This window comes from Homo sapiens, chromosome 1 (genome assembly GCF_000001405.40).
Source record: "Homo sapiens chromosome 1, GRCh38.p14 Primary Assembly".
Lineage (NCBI taxonomy): Eukaryota > Metazoa > Chordata > Mammalia > Primates > Hominidae > Homo > Homo sapiens.
In genome coordinates this window covers 48,825,545-48,843,719 of record NC_000001.11, presented here as the reverse complement: position 1 = coordinate 48,843,719, position 18,175 = coordinate 48,825,545, and the positions used below count along the sequence as shown (strand labels likewise).

General features: G+C 39.2%; 1 protein-coding gene across 8 annotated transcripts in view; it reads left to right on the top strand.

Moving 5' to 3' along the window:
• The window catches only part of AGBL4 (AGBL carboxypeptidase 4), a 1,501,444-nt gene that overhangs the window by 1,180,235 nt on the left and 303,034 nt on the right, over window positions 1-18,175 (top strand). The gene's annotated exons all lie outside the window — the stretch shown is intronic.

Below are 18,175 nucleotides of genomic sequence, written 5' to 3'. Positions count from 1 at the left end.
GGCCTTTCTGACTAGAAAGTTCTATTAATCTGGGCGTCAATGAAATTCAGAATTTGGAATTTTTTGTTTCCACTTTGTTTTTGTTTAGAGTATATGTGTGTGTATGTTGCAATAAAATTTCATTATAAACACTGAAATTTGAATATTATATAATTGTATATGTCATAAGATATTCTTCTTTTGATTATGGTTTAACTATTCGAAAATATGAAAACCATTTTAGCTTATGGGCCATACAAAAACAGGTGGTCATGGGCCAGATTTTGCTATGATCATTTAAAGCTGATTTCTATTAAAAACAAAAAGATCTTTTGAACTTAATTTTAAAACCTCCATTTTAACAAAATATTTTATATTAAAACATGATCCTTAGAAATTTATATAAGCTCTAGGCAAAATATCACCTCATTATGAAAATTTCAGAAATCGTAAGTCACACATAGTTCAATAACCCTAAATCAATCATTGTTGTTCCAAAATAAGGCAATTTTATTACACATATAAATTTTTTTTATAAGGTACCCCTGCCCTGGACAATGTTTGTTGCTATTGTTTTACCATTTTAACCATTTTTAGGTGTACAGCTCAGTAGAGTTAAGTAAAATTACTTAACACTACTAAACAGATCGTCAGAATTTTTCACCTTGCAAAATCGAAATTCTACATACACTCATTAAACAACAGCTCCCCTTTTTCCCCTTCCCCCAGCTCCTGGTAACCACCATTCTACTTTCTGTGTCTATGAATTTGACTACTGTAAATATCTCATGTGAGTGGAATTCATACCATATTTTCTTTTTTGTGGCTAGCTTATTTCACTTAGCATAATGCCCTCATGGTTCATTGATGTTGTAGCATGCAACGAGATTTTCTTCCTTTTTAAAGCTGAATAATATTTCATTATATCTGTACACCAAATTTTGCTTATCTATTCATCCCTCGATGGAAATTTATGTTGTTTCTACCCTTGATTATTGTAAAGAATGCTGCTAAGAACCTGGATGTGCAAAATATCTCTTTTAGACCTTGCTTTCAGTCTTTTTGACTAAATAGTCAGAAGTAGGATTGCCGGATCATACAGCAGTTCGTTTTAATTTTCTGAGGAACCACCATTCCACTTTGCTTTATGGTTCTCTTTTCTTCCCTGTGAAAGGGAATATGATCCCATTTTCTCTTCTCTCTCTTATGTCCTTTGACAAATCAGATTTGTGACTGCTCATAGCTTTCTTTAGAGGGTCAATAATCCATGGGAAGACTTAAGCATCCACAGGAGAACTGGGGCAGCCATAATCATAAGAAACTCGAATGGAAAGTCCTGATCAATGTTAATTCTGTTAGTTTTCATTTCATTTATCGCTCTGATCTTAGTTTTTGAAAACGCTACACAGAGGACAATGACTTGGTGAGATCATCTTCAGTGAAATACACTCATCCACCTCTCCTAGAAAAAAAAAGAAAAAGGAAAGGAAGCCATTTCAAAAGATGAGATTGCTGGAATGATGGGAAATGGGGTGGTAGGGTGAGGAAAGTGCAGGCTGATGGGGAGGGATTGAGCAAGGAAATTGAAACCTTGAATGCAGAAAAAGATGTAAATGTTGCTTCCCAGATTTTATAGCTCCCAGATGCCTCCTCTAATTGCATAGCTAACCCTGAGTTTATTAAGTTATTTTCCAGAGTCAAACTCATTTGTATACATGTCAGAATGTAAACTGAATTTAAAAAGTAAGGTCTTTGGATTAGAATTCAGGAATGATAAACAAACTCATTTAGAACGTAAGATTTGCATGTCATTTGCATGTGCCCAAAAGCAATTACATGTGCTCTGTAAATATGCATTTCACATTTATTTGTCATGATGGAACAGTATGGAAGAAATTAATTGCCACAGATTTTTTTAATATTTAAAGAAAAAAATTATGACTCTTAAAATAGACTCTGCTAGTGCATGATTCAATGTGCAGAAACTGGCAAGAAGAGATAAGGATCCATCGAAAACCATAAATTCTCACTGCAACATCTGTAGTAGTTCAAATCTCATGGTTTATGGAGGCCCCTTTTTGCCTTCTCCTTGGGTATTACCATAGTGTTCTGTAGATTTATTGCTGGTTCAGTGCAAGGACAGTTTTACTAGCAAAGCTTTAAAATAAGGTGGGGGGTTGGAGGGCGGGGAGCTGTTTCCTCTTTGAAAGTTCAGGATTAAATTGAAATGAAATCGCTGCTCTGGCTTTAGAAACTTCTAGATAAACCAGACTCCCATATACTTCCACACTGTCTACAACCTGCTCCTTCTCTCTCTTCTTTTTTTTTGGGGGGGGGGGGTTTTGTAGTAAGAGATAGTTTGAATAACCAAGACTCTACCCTTAGATTACAAAGACACCTTAGAAAATTTGGAGGCCTCAAGTACTAGGTAGTAATGCCAATATGGGAAAGCTGTTTATTTTATGTCATTTTTTATTAACACACCGTTAAATTGACTTTTTAAATATACAGCTTTATGAATTTTAACACAGGTATATATTTGAGTAACTGCCACCACAACCAGGATACAGAACAGTGCCATCACCCTAGAAGACTCCCTTGTGCTACCTCTGGTAGTCACACCCTTCCTCCTAACCCCTAGCAAACACTGATCTGTTCTCTATCACTAGAATTTTGTCTTTTTAAGAGTGTCATAAACATGGAATCATATACAATGTAGCTTTTGAGAATAGCTGCTTTCACTTAGCTTAATGCTTCTGAGATTCATCCAAATTGTGTGTATCAATAGTTCATGCCTTTTCATTGCTTACAATTCCTTAGACTTGTATTATTCAATTGTATAGATGTGCCACAGTTTGTTAACCCATTCATCACTGAAGGCCATCTGAATTGTTTGCAGTTTTGGCGATTATGAATAAAAGCTTCTGTGAACATTCTTTTACAGGTTTTTGTGTGAACATAAGTTTTTTCATTTCTCTATGGTAAATACCTAGCAGTGAGATTGCTGGGTCATATAACAACTTTGTTTAACCTTTTAAGAAGCTGTACCAATTTTCATTCCTAGCAGCAATATTTGAGATTTCTGGTTACTCTGCATCCTTGCTAGCACTTGGAATTGTCAGTCTTTTTTATTTTATTCTCACCAGTCTAATTGGTCTGTAGTGATAGCTTGTGTTTTTAATTCTCATTTCCCTAATGTCTAATGATATTGAACAAGTGAAAGCTTTTCATGTATAATAATACATAAATTCATTTTAAGCTCCTACACTGTTAGGTATCTTACATGCATGTTAAGTCATTTAAACTTTACAACCTTGTGAGATGACTATTAATTATTCCATTTTAAAAGTTGAGAAAACTGAGGCCAGGAGAATTTAACTGCCTCGTTTTTCTCAATAAGCAGGTACGCATTGTATACTGTATGCCAGCTTCTGTGTCAGGCACCGGGCACACAGAGGTATCTCTGCCTTGGGAGTCTTATACACAGAGGTATTCTGTATGAATAGGGCATAGAGTAAAAGAGATTTAAGCCAGGAGAAGTGGGCTTTAATTGGCCATGGTTCCCAAATATCCCAGTGAAAACATGAAAATTAAGAGACTGAAGGTAGCGTGAACGTGTGGAAGAGTTAGACTTAACATCAGACTCATTTCTTCCTCTATAAAACACACTCATCATCTTTCCACTTCTCTCTCCTAAATCGGCAAAGAGCAGCTATATACCCTCAGCAGGAGTGAAAGCCATCTTCCTTTCCTGACCCACCAAGGCTGGGACCAGAGAGCAATTGTCAAGTGAGGAATGAAGCAAGTTACAGGACTTCTTATATAAAAAGACATAGAAGCCTCCCTTGCATACAGAAATTTGGCCGCAGTTGATACACACGCAATTAAGTGAGCACCCTCTGTCCACCACACACTGGGCTGACACCAAGAGCAGAGATGTATGGTGAACCAGGACGAGCACTGTATGTGGGGCCAGAAGTCTTGGATTGAGGTTTTGTTTCAGTTATTTCCCATTTCTTATTTTTCCTGGGCTTCAATTTGCCCGTATGCAAAGTTGAAGAAGTTAAAAAAAATTTCCTTCAACCAACCTCCTAATTCATCACCAACTCCTGTGTATTCTGCTTCTAAAATGTACCTTATACTCTCTGTCTCCCCTCTCCACTAACCTTTCCAGCCTCTGGTAACCACCATTTTATTTACTACCTCCAGGACATCAATGTTTTTAGCTCTCACATACAAGTAAGAACATGTGACATTTGTCTTTCTGTACTTGGCTTATTTCACTTAACCTAATGTCCTCCAGTTCCATCTAGTTGTTGCAAATGACAGGATTTCATTCTTCTTTATGTCAAAAAGACATAAAGACATTCAATTTCACATATATGTGTGTATATATACACACACATTTATGTATATGCACACACACCACATTTTCTTTATCCATCCGTTCTTTAATGGTTGCTTAGATTGAGTCCAGTATCTTGGCTGTTATGAATAGTGCTGCAATAAGATGGGAGTGCAGTTATCTCTTCAATATGCTGATTTCCTTTCTTTTCGATGGATATCCAGCATTGGAATTGCTGGATCGTATGTTATTTCTAATTGTAGTTTCTTGAAGAACCTCCTTACTGTTTTCCATAGTAGCTATACTAATTTACATTCCCATCAACAGTGTATGATCATTCCCCTTTCTCTGTGTCATCACCAGCATTTGTATTTTCTTTTTTATTTTGATAATAGCCAGTTTAACTGGGGTGAGATAATACCTCATTGTGGCTTTGATTTGCATTTCCCTGATAATTAGTGATGTTGAGCATTTTATACCTGTTGGCCATTTGTATGTCTTCTTTTCAGAAATTGCTATTCAGATCTTTTGCCCATTTTTAAATCAGATTGTTTTCTTGCTATTGAGTTGAGTTCCTTATATATTCTGGTTATTAATCCTTTGTAAATTGAATTGTTTGCAAATATTTTCCCCCACTCTGTAGTTTGTCTCTTCACTTTGTTGATTGTTTCCTTTGGTGTATAAAAGCTTTTTAGCTTCATGTAATCCCATTTGTCGATTTTTGCTTTGATTGTCTGTACTTTTGATGTCTTACTCAAGAAATCTTTGCCTAGACCAATGTCCTAAAGCATTTTCCCAACGTTTTCTTCTAGTAGTTTCATGGTTGCAGGTAATACATTTACATCTTTAACCTATTTTTATTTGATTTTTATATATGGTGAGAGATAGGGGTCTAGTTTTATTCTCCTGCATATGGATACCCAGCTTTCCCAGCACATTTACTAAAGAGCTTTTCCTTTCTCCAATGTTTGTTCTTGATGCCTTTGTCAAAAATGAGTTAATTAAATACGTGGATTTATTTCTGGGTTTTCTATTCTGTTCTACTGGTCTATATGTCTGTTTTTATGCTAGTATCATGCTGTTTGGGTTAATACAGCTTTATAGTATACTTTGATGTCAGGTAATGTGATGCCTCCAGCTTTGTGCTTTTGCTCAGGAACTTATTAGCTATTCTGGGTCTTTTGTGGTTCCAGAAAAATTTTAGGATTGCTTTTTTCTATTTCTGTGTTGAATTTCATTGGTATTTTTATAGGGATTGCACTGATCTGTAGATTGCTTTGGGTAGTTATTCATTGCTTTTCATCTGCAGTGCCATGTTTCTCTTCTATGCTACCAATCCCCCTCTTGCCTGGACTACTGTAATAGCTGCCTACTTGGTCTGCCAGTTTTAATTCTTGCCACTCTTTGGTACATTATCCTCACAACAGCCAGAGTCATATGGTTCTAAAAAGAACCAGAATCAAGTAGTATAATCTTCCTGATTAAAACCCTTTAATGGCTTCCCTTCACTTAAAATAAAATCCAAAATCCTTCCTATGTTCTACAGAGCTCTTTTGGCTTGAGTTCTTGTATCTCTCCCATGCCCCTCATACCACTCTCTCTATCACACTCACTGTATTAGTCAGGGTTCTCTAGAGAGACAGAACTAACAGGATATATATATATATATATATATATATATATAGTGTGTGTGTGTGCGTGTGTGTGCGTGTGTGTGTGTGTGTGTGTGTGTTCATTAAGTAATATTAACTCACACAATCACAAGGCCCCACAATAGGCCATCTGCAAGCTGAACAGCAAGGAAGCCAGTCCCAGTCCCGAAGCTGAAGAACTTGGAGTTCATTGTTCAAGGGCAGGAAGCATCCAGCATGGGAGAAAGATGTAGGCTGGGAGGCTAAGTGATCTTCCTGTTTTTCTGCCTGCTTTATATCCTAGCTGCACTGGCACCTGATTAGATGGTGCCCATCCAGATTAAGGATGGGTCTGCCTTTCCCAGCCCACTGACTCAAATGTTAATCTCCTTTGGACACACCCAGAATCAATACTTTGCATCCTTCAATCCAATCAAGTTGACACTCAGTATTAACCATCACACTCACTGTGCTGCAATCACAGTGGTCTCCATTTTGTTACTCAGACAAGTCAAACCCGTAACTAGCCTCTACAGTTATTGTTCTTTTTATCTGTAATGCCATCTCACCAAAAATATTTTCTGACTATTCTATTGAAAATCGCTTTCCTCATTTTACTTGCCAACTCACTATCCTATTGATTTTCCTTCATAGAACTTACTAGAAACAATAATTATTTTATGTCTCTATATATCTTACTATTATATAATTAATAATTATATATTATCATATTACTTATGTTATATAATATTACTATATATAATATATGATGTTATTTATTTACATATAATATTGTATATATTATCTTTTTATTATTTTATATTTTATTATCTTTTAACCCTCATGAGAATAAAGACTTTGTCTATTACATTTAGCCCAGCCTCTACAACCAGCACATAAAAGAAGTTCTGTAAATATTTGTTTAATAAATGAATCTAAGTCTATTTAAACACTGACATTTATTTCCTTATCTCCTGGGCTCATTCTACTCATTTCTATGAACTGGCATATCTCACAAGGTTGTTTTGTCAGATGAGACAAGGCATGTTAAGACACCAAACGAAGTTAAGAAATTATTATACGTATCATCATCATTATCATCATCCAAGGCATTTTCCCATCTGACACTGATTTTTTGTTATTGGTTTTCTTGTGGGGTTTTTTTGATCCCTAGGGAAACTTCCAACCAAAGATCCTTTTTTTTCTTTTGTGCAGTAGACACCTGGCAATGTTTGCTTCATAGCCCTGATTCAAGGTGTCACAACTATTTATCATCAAGCTACTGGCATGAGTATCATTCCCGCAAGTATGTTTTTAGGAAGGATAGTCTTAGGCATTTGGAGTATAAAGAAGAAAAGCTTTAAGATCACAAAATTATTGAACCACAGAATGTCAGCACTGGAAGACCTTTGAAGGATTACCTAATCCTATGGTTTGCAGATTCCTACTTTTTTTTTTTTTTTTTTTTTGAGGAAACTTAGTAGCCTCCCTGGTGGGTGAGAGGGATGCTGAGGCCCCAGAAAGGGATTTGTGCAAGGTTATAGAGCAATTTGTAACAGAACCAAGACATATCTGGGTTGCCTGTCCTCTGCCTCTACTCCTTCTGGTGCTTCACCTAAAGATCTCAATGCATTCACTTTTTTCCATCTCCACTGCCACCACCCTGCTCCAAAATGTCATTCTCTTTCATCTGAACTACTGCAATAGTCCTCTAACTGGTGTCCCTGGAACCACTCGTCAAACAGTACATGTGGTCATTTCTGTACCCACTTTTTCCATCTCCACTGGCTTAAAACCTTTCAGTGACTTTCCAAGATTTTCAGGGTAATCACACCAGCCTTATCTCATATTCCTCCTCTGCCCCAGTATTCATTCCATACTGGCTTCTTCCAATTTCTGTGATTTACATGGTTTCTGTGATTACAGGTTTTTGGACATGATATTCCCTCTGCTGGGATCAGTGTTGTCTCTCAAATTTCCTTATTGGAAGAACTTAAAAGCAGCATTCTGATTAGAGAGTTCTAGGGTCTTGAAGTTGCATTTCTATAGAGAAAGCAAATTGTTTTTAGTTAGATTATTTTTGATTGTATATTTAGAATTGGCAGAGGCTTATTAAGATTATAGACCCCTGAACTACCCCTGAATGCTTCCATTTTACTGTAACATTCTTGCTTTCTTCACTCTAGTACTACCTACACATCATTTGTATCTCAACTCAAACTTACTTCCTCAGGGAAACCTTCCTTGAACCCATAATCTTGGTCAGACCCCTTTGCTATATGCACTCATAGAACACTGTTCTTTCTTTCATAGCACTCATCTCAGAGTGTAATTATACCCATATTTGTGTGATTATTTAAGGAACATCTGTCTCTCCCACTAGCCTATAAGTTCCAGGAGGACAGAGTTCATGTCTGTTTTTGCTCATCATTAGATCCCAGCATCTGACATAATCTTAGTCACTTAAAAGGTGTTTAATCTGTTGAATAAATAGATAAACATAAACATTCTGCCCCTGATAGGGGTTCTAAGAGATAATTTTGGCAGGGTAGACTGACTCCCTCATCTCAAACCTCACTGAGTAGGGCCAAACCCATAAGTCCATTTAGTAGCATAAAATAGTGCTTAGAGACCTTTGTTTCTGAGAAGCCCAGTTTAAATCCAGAGCATTTGAGTATTTAACACATTTATAACTCACCATTCACAGAGGAACCCTGGGGTCTATGATAGACAGCTATTTTTTATTAGGATAAGGCATTTGTTTGAAACCTCAATCACTGCAAAGCCTAATTATAAGAACAAATCACAAGGCTGGTAAAGAAAGCCAGCCGCCACCAGCACCCTGGTTCTGAAGAAAGAATGGTCTCTCCAGATGCTGAACATGCAACAACTTTCACCAAGTTAGGAATCTGGGGCTTTGTGAAGGTATGGTTCAATGATGACAAAGGTCAACAGAATTTTATTCTCAACTCAAACTCCTCTTGGAAATGAGAAGTTTCCTAACTCTTTGCCTGTCTGCTCAACCTGTTATAACAAAATGCCATAGACTTAGTGGCTTAAACAACAAACATTTATTTCTCACAGTTCTGGAGGCTGGAAAGTCCAAGATCAAGGTGCCTTGGTGAGGGCTCTCTTTCTGGCTTGCAGACAGCCTCCTTCTTGCTGTGTCCTCAGTAGAAAGAGAAAAAGATTTCTGGTCTCCCTTTCTCTTCTTATAAAGACATTAATCCCATCATGAGGGCCCAACTCTCATAGCCTCATGTAAACCTAAAGACCTCCCAAAGGCCTTACCTCCACATACTATCATATTGAAAGTTAGGGCTTCAAAATATGAATTTTAGGAGGACACAAACATTCAGACCACAATATTCCGCCCCTGGCCCCCCAATATTCACATCGTTCTCTCATGCAAAATACATTAATTCCTCCCATCAGCCCCAGAGTCTTAACTCATTCCAGCATCAACTCTAATATCTAATGTTCAAAGTCTCACTTAAATATCATCTAAATCAGATATGGGTGAGACTCAAAATACAATTTATCCTTAGGCAAAATTCATCTCCATCTATGAAGCTATGAAACCAGACATATGTTATGTGCTTCCAGAATACAGTGCTAGGGTAGTCATAGAATTGACATTCCTATTCCAAAAAGGGAGAAATCGGAAGGAAGAAAGAGGTGATGGATTCTGAGCAAGTCCAAAACATACCAGGGAGAACTCCATTAGATATTATGGCTTGCAAATAACCCTCTTTGATTCAATGCTCTGCCCCTAAGGTACTGGGCAGGGGCATTCTGATCTGTCAACACCAGAGTGGGAACCCCACCCTTTGAAATGGAAAAGGAACTAGCCCTGTCCCCTGGGCCTGTGGTGGAAGTGGCAGTCCTGATAATCTCTGAATTACTTTTGGTGTCAATCTTCCCCTTTTTTGAGGAACAGGGCACATTTATAGCTAAATAGCTCTATGTTTTTATCTTGTAAAATACAAGAAGCCCAACAACCATGCTTCATTCTGTCCTGATTTCTGAGTCTCCTTTACTTCTAGCTGGCAGTGTTTCCCCTGGTATAATCTCATTTATTCATGGCTTCTGTTGAGATGGCTGATTAAGTTCATGAGTTATACCAATGGACCAATGATCTGTTTATCAAATGATAGTCTGGCCACCTCCTTGGTGTTCTCTTCTAAACATATGTTCTCACTTTCTGCAATATGGATAAATTGAGAATTTTCCAAATCTTTACATTCAGCTTGCTTTTTGCTTAACAATTCACCCTTTCAATTCATCTCTCTTCTCACATTTTATTATAAGCAGCCAGGAGGAACCAAGCTAGTTCTTTTACACATTGCTTAGAAATCCCTTCAGCTAAATATCCAATTTCATTGTTTGCAAGTTCTACCTTTCACAAAACACTAGAACACAGTTCAGCCAAGTTCTTTGTCACTTAATAACAGATTGCAAAAGGATTGCCTTCCCTCTAGTATCTAATAACATGTTTCTCATTTCCATCTGAGACATCAACAGATGTGCTTTTAATGTTCATATGTCTAACTTGCACCTCAAAACTCTTCCAGCCTCTGCACACTACCCAGTTCCAAAGCCATGCTATGTGTTTCAGCATTTCTAGCAGCAGCATCCCACTTCTCAGCACTAAACTGCACTACTTAGGGTTCTGTAGATAAACAGAACCAATAGGAGACCTAGATCTGTATTGTAAGTAATTGGCTCACATGATTAGGGAGGCAGAGAGGTCTCATCATCTGCAACTGGCAAATTAGAGACCCAGGAGAGCTGGTGATGTAGCTCCAGTTTGAGTCTGAAGGCCTGAGAACCAGAACTGATGGTGTAAATTCTTATCCAAGTCCAAAGGTCTGAGAACCAGGACAGCCAATGGTATAAGTCAGAGTCTGAGGACAGGAGAAGATGTGTAAGCTTAGGCACTCAGGAAGAGAGCAAATTTTCCCTTTCTCTGCCTTTTTATTCTATCCAGGCTCTTAACAGATTGAATGAGGCTCACCCACACCAGAGAGGACAATCTACTTTACTTAGTCTATTAATTGAATATTAATCTCATCCAGAAACACCCACATAGGCATGCCCAGAAATAACATTCAAGCAAATATCTGGGCACTCCGTGATCCAGTCAAGTTGACACATAAAATTAACCATCACAGTCTCTTTCCTTTTATTTGCAATAATTTGAGGTCCTCTTTGTGCCAGGCTCTGAGCTACCCACAAGAGGGGCAAGAATTCCAAGCCCTGAACCTCAAGGTACTCACAACCTAGCGAGTACCTTGAAAAACTTTGTGGCAACAATAAGAGGGAAAGGTTATTGATGCCATTAGAGCAGAGAAAACATGATTACCTTAGAAAGCCATGTTCTCCCCTGAGATGGAGTCTGAGCTGTGCAGAATTCACACGGCAGGTCCATCAACTCGCTAAAGTATTAGGATGTTTATTTGTGTGACTATGAGTCTATGAGTACCTTCTAAAAACAGCAACCATCTCCTTATGTAAGTGCCAGTGAGCGGATGCAGCTCCAGGAGAGGAAACCCCAAGCATTTTCCAGTGTTTCCCCAACCACCTTCAGTGCCAAGGGCTCTGGGGAGCAAGGACATTATGCCAGACACTCCTGACTTCTTGATCCTACTGCACCCCTTCTACTTTGTGTATGAAAGTAATGCCTTAATCTCTCTGACTCATTTTTCTTCACTTATAAAATGGGGATAATTAAAAAGTACCCTCAGGGTTGTTCTGAGGATCAACTGGGATAATGATTCAGTGTTCTACCTAACACATTGCCTGCTAAAGTAGATCTGTAATGAAGGTGAATCTTTCTCACATCCCTCCACTTGTCCCCACTCTATATCCCTGTATTGCCAGGTCTGATTACTGTCAAAACATGGATTTCCTTGCAGAGATGAGGTAATCCTCACTCAGCAAAAAGAAACTGCTTTTCACAACATGTGTTTATTCATTCAGTGAGTTTTTATTGTGTACCGATTATGTATGAGAGAATAGATTTCAATGTAACTAAAAACCTCACCCAACTCATGTCAAAATCTTGCTCAATCCACAAATGCCCTTTCAAGTTAATTCAGCTATCCCATATTAAGTACTACCATGTGCCAAGCACTGAGTTAGTGGCTATGATTCAGAAACAAAGGATACATTGTCCTTGCTTCAAGAAGTTAAAAAATCATATGCTGCAAAAAACTAAATGTTACAGCAGAGGTGCATAAAAAGTATAAAGGGAGCCCAGAGACATCCTTCCCGACAAAGTAAGGCAAGGCTTCAGAAAGGAAGTAATAGTCGAACTTGGCTTCAGCAGAGAGGTAGGATTAACTTGCATCTGACTTACATCTCTGTAGCACTTGGGATTTTGCAAAATATTTTGGTAACAAGAGGCTCTCTCAGATATGGAACCTTGTTCTGGGCCCCAGTAGGAGGGAGGAGCGCCTGGATCATAGCTGGAAGGATGGAGGAGAGGGACTTAGTTCTTCCAGCCCAGAGGGCCAGAGAGCTGAGGTGACTTGCCCAAGGTCACAAAGAAAACAAGCTTATAGACTATACTTCTGCCCTCTACACTAATCTTCCCAGATGTTCATATGGTTCACTCCCTCATGTCATTAAGAATGACTCAAATGGCCTCTCCTCAGAGAGACTTTTACTGAGCCCCAATCCAAAAATTAATTCCTTTCACAGTTCATTTCCTTACCCGAAAATGCTCCCTTTTACTTCACAGGTCTCATTGCTACCTGACATTATATAACCATTTGGGTTTTCTCTATCTTCCCCACAAGATTGTGAGTTGATGGGGACAGGGACCTTGTTTGTCTTGTTCAATGGGAATGTCTAGAACAATGCTTGGTATGTAGCAGGCCCTCAGCAATATTTGTTAGATGAATGAACTTTTACGTTTAAAAAAAATGAAATAATGTTGTGATGAACAGCTTTATTCTTCCATTTTTATACAATTATCCAAATATTTTCTTATGATCTATTCCCAAAAGCAAAATTGCTAGGTGCCCAAAGTTATTTATTGATTAGCTCAGTGACTGGCATACAGCAGATATTTGATTAACATCTACCAAGTGACTGAAATTGAATGTTTTTCTTGAATGGCACCAAATTAACTGATTCCAGATTTGAATTCTGCCAGTATCTAATTGAGCATCTAAACCATTTGTTCATTCATTTATTAACTTATCAGACATTACCTACATTGTGGATACAAAATCGGGGGAATTGGTCCCCTGACCTCAAGAGGCTCTCAGTCTAATGAGGAAGACAGACAGGTTAGGCAATAGTTTGGCACTAAGCTAGAAACTCATTTTCTCTTACCAGTGATCCTGGCTACTTGGTTCTTAACATGTATAACCTCAGGCAATTTGTATGACCCCTCTGAACTTGTGTTTTCTCATCTGTAAAGTAGAGTTGCAATGCCTATTTCACAGGGCTGTGGAGAAGAATGGCATGTGAATGCACATAGAAACACTTGGGATACTGCCTGGCATATAGCAAGAGTTCTACAAATGTTAATTAACATTATTTCTAGCCTCATTTTATAGAAACGACTGAGGCGCAGCAAAAATTCAACTGTTTGTCTAAGGTAAGTAGTATAGATGGAATTTGAATCCAGATCTCCCAACTTCATTCCCAGGCACTCCCTGCATTGTGATTCTGCCTGCATCATTAAGACCTCTTTTCCTGTGGCTGCTACCTTCTCCCAGACTTTGGAACATGGGTACCAAGCCTTGAGTTGAGTCTCTAGGCCTCCTGGTGCTCATCCAACCCTTGCTCCCCTACTCTCTCTTTTTCCTTTGCACTATGCTGACAGCCCCCTAACTGCAACCCCACATGTTAATAGTTTTATGAAAAAAAATGTATTTTGATAATTAAGCTGGTGGAATTTAGAAATCAACAGAACAGTACATTTTCCCAGCAGAGCCAAGAAATTAATTAGGAGCAATTTGCTGTCAGAAACAATTTCCATAATTTTAAGTTTAAAAAAAAGCAGAAAATCATTTTTGTGGGTTTTTTTTTTCCTGCTTTCCATTCCAAAGTGGTTTAACTCCTGGAAAAACAAATTCTTCCAACTACCCTATTTTCTGTTCTTCAGTCTCTTCCCCTGAGAGATGTTTCAGCCTCTCTCTGACTGGTTATATTCAAGGGTGAGGAGGAATAATATGAGACAGAACCTTTTTGATCCCCTCCTTCACCCCATAGGGCAGAACTTATACTTTTCCAATGGCATGATTATAAAATGTGCACATTCCTATCTCAGTAATGGGGGGATATATGATGCCTTTGGAAAGGAGACTGAAAGGGGAGAAACAGAGGTCATGGTACACTGAATGAGGGTCCTAGTGGGCCACCAGGCAGACAAGACTGCTCTATAGAGAGGCATTAAAGCATTGTGGCCAACGGCATAGGCTGTAACTCTGGAGCCAGACTGACTAGGATCACATCTCAACACTGTCCTTTTACTATCTATGCGATCCTGGTATAGTTCTTTAATTTCTCTGTGACTCAGTTTCCTGATAAAGTAGCTCTGATGGTTTATGATGGTCCACCAAGCTCTTATGTCCACACTAAGACCACAATGCCTGGCATATGGCAAGTGCTCATGACTGTTTCTGATGATGAGTGGCAGGAACAAGCTCCCAAAAAGAGAAGTGTAAGCTGTCACTGGGTTCATCTTAGACCTTGGACACTCTAGTTCCAGACTCAGAATGGCCAAAACTAAAGATCTATTCTATCTCAACAACCCTTTATTTTGGAAGGCATCATAGCAAAGAGCAATGGTTGTGAGATATCTTACACACATACACACACACACGTACACAATGCTAAGAATAGTGAAAATACCAAGGTTTGCAAATGATCTACTTTTTTATATGAGGTAAAGCAGATTTAAAGTTACTTCTATGATAATGATAATGTCACTCTTCATTTTCTTACAATTCAAATATGAGAGGAAAAAAAGGGAGTTGAGTTATAACTAGAGCTAAGTAATGGATTTTAACTGGCAGAACTGGCAGCCTAGAATTATCCTTAACACAACCTGTTGTGAACAAGCATTACTGTTGCACAGTTAATAGTTTTGACTGAGTTGTTATCATGTATTATTTCCATGATATTTTTTAGTTTCATCTAAATCTGAATGTATCAGTCAGTACATAACCAAGAAAAAAAATCACTCCAAATATTTGAAACAAAGAGGATTCAATGCAGGGAACTGGCACCAGTTGAGAAGCCAAACAGGAAATGGTAAAGAAACTCAGAGATTAGCAACAATAGGAAGATACTCTCACCCTGGGCATAAGGGTCAAAGGGAGAACAGGTGGCACTGGATCCTAGGAGCCATGGTTACCTAGCAAAAGATAGAGCCTTGGCAACCTCCATGGCTCTATCCAGCAAGTGCTAGAGCAATGGAGGAGACTCAGCTGCTGCCAGAGACACCTCTATGGTGGTAGGAGGGGAGTAATCCGTCTTCTCTCTTCTACTGTCTGATGTTTTGGCATGAGGTGGGAGAGATTTGAACCCCATTTTCTTTTTTTCTTTTTTTTTTTTTTTGAGATGGAGTTGCCCAGGCTGGAGTACAGTGGCGCAATCTTGGCTCACTGCAACCTCCACCTGCTGGGTTCAAGCAATTCTTCTGCCTCAGCCTCCCAAGTAGCTGGGACTACAGGTGCATACCACCATGCCCGGCTAATTTGTGTGTGTGTGTGTGTGTGTGTGTGTGTGTGTGTGTGTGTGTGTGTGTATTTTTAGTAGAGACGGGGTCTCACATGCTGGGCAGGCTGGTCTCAAACTCCTGACCTCGTGATCTGCCCGCCTCGGCCTCCCAAAGTGCTGGGATTACAGGCATGAGCCGCCGCTCCTGGCCCCCATTTTCAATACTTACTAGCAATGCAGCTCCCTGCTAGTCCCCAGCCTGTTTTCACTTTTGTGACTCCATTTGTAAAAGGGAATATCCACCACATGAGGTTTGTCTCATCCCCCAGCCTGTGGAAAATTTCCCAGCTGTCATGATTCTGTACAGCTAAGACTGTTTCTTGCTTGCAACCCGCTTAAAAGGGCTTCCTAAACAAGGAAGCATGCAGAACTACATGTCTGCACACAGTAGTTACTCAAGAAATTATGTTTGCCTTGAGTTGAAGTTGATAACTGCATGGGGCAGTTATCCAGAGCAAGGACATGGAGCCAGACAATCTGAGAGCCAAGAAAACGATAGCAGTGTGGATGGTGGCCAACAGTGTGAAGACACAAGACCAGAGCTTTCACCCCAGTAGGCTTCTGGGGCTTTTCTGTAGCATAAGCAGATGTTGGCTGTATGTAAAGACCCATGACCTGGGAAGCTAGGGAGAGGCCAGGATTATAAGAGTTAATATTTACAAAGTGCTTGCCATGCCATTTTGTGAGAGATAAGAATTACTTTCCCTATTACTCCTCTTTCATTTGCTTCAGCATGAATTTACTAAGCACCTTGGCTATATCGAGACCTGCTCTAGTCAGTAAAGATGCAGAGACAGTATAATGGAGGAAAGACATGGAAGCAACCAACTAAAATTCAAATACTGCAGACTTTCTACCAAATGAAAGTATAGTACAGTAATAGCATACTGAGGCAATACAAAAATGGTAATTCTGATTTAAGAAATCAGGGGTAATTTCAAAGAAAACATAGCATTTGTCCAGAATCTTGAAGGACAAACAAGATCTTGACTTGTTTGAGATCTTGACTTATCTTGATCTTGATAGAGGGGGAAAGAATATTCAGGCAGTGGGAAAAGCATAGTGGTGAAAGAGTGCAGAGCCTATTTGAGGACTGGTGAATAGTCCCATGTAGCAGACTCCGGGGCATGGGGATAAGAGGAGAGTGTGAAGTGATGCAATGGAAGATGAGGGTGGGAAGGACATTGGAGCCAGATCCTTGAAGGTTTCCTGTTAACCAGAAAGACTCAGCGTTTGTTAAGTCTTTTAGGGTTCAGAAGGTTGGGCTCAAATAGGCAATATGCTGGCATGGAATCAAAATCATGGAAACAATTAAGGGGAACAAGATAAAACTTATTCTTCTCCTGCCTAGACCTTTATTCAATCCACTATCTGGAGGTGTTTGTAACCTCTAACTTTCCAGCCTCCTCTTGCTTTATATCTTCTTTCTTGGGCCATGAGGCCATTTCCAAATTTTCTTAACCTGAAGTTCATCTGATTCCTAGGCTCTGGAGTCTCTTTGAATGAAGCTTATTATCTCCCACCACAAACCTGCTTTTGGTTGGGTGTGGGGTGCAAAGGAACCAGGTGGTGGACTGGGATTGTAGCTCACATACATGTTTTGCTAATGTGTGCCAGTTCTCTGGCCCAGAATGCCAGTTTCAGTAGTTCATGGTGATGGTACATGGCTTTAACAGTGCCAGCCAATTCAGCAAACTCCTTCACACCTTTTATTTTGTTTAATTATCCTACCAATTATCAATTGGTATAATGCAATTATCATCAGCCCCATTTTACAGAATGTGAGACTGAAGCATGTGATAGTAGCTGAGGCTGGCTTGGGACTCTCATCTTCTGAAGCAAGCTAAAGATTGACTGTAGAGGGAAGGGTTATCAAAGGAGTGACAGGAGGGAGATCCTCATTACCTGAGATTTTAGGGAAGAAGTTGTTCCTTGAAGCTTGGGGCTTAAATGCAATAAAGGGATCGTTTATAAGAGAAAGTCCCTGTCACTTTGAATTGTGGGTGAAGGTAGAAGGGCTCTGAGATCCAAAATGAAGGTCCTAGACAAGCAGAGGGCAAAGCCACGGAGTCTGAAAGCAGTGGAGAAGTCCTTCCTTTCATTTCTTCCCCCCTAAATCTTCCAGCACAGGACTTCCCTGCTTAAGCACCTTCCTTGTCTCCCCATTGCCCATAGAAGACAGTGCAATGTCATTAACAGGGCACTGAGAGACACATACAGACTACCTCCAAGAGATATTTCCATTTTTATCTCTTAGATGCTCTGAGTTTTTCACTTGGTACTTGCATATATGATGCATTTTACCACTTCTTTGCCTTTGCTCATGCTCTTTCTTCTGAGGAAAATGCCCTTTCCCCTTGGTTCCTACTTGTTCCTTTATTTATGCACTTATTCACTTAGTCAATGAGCGAATAAAATACCTATTATACGCCAAGCACTCCTCTGGGCACTGGGAATACAATAGAAAACATCATAAAAT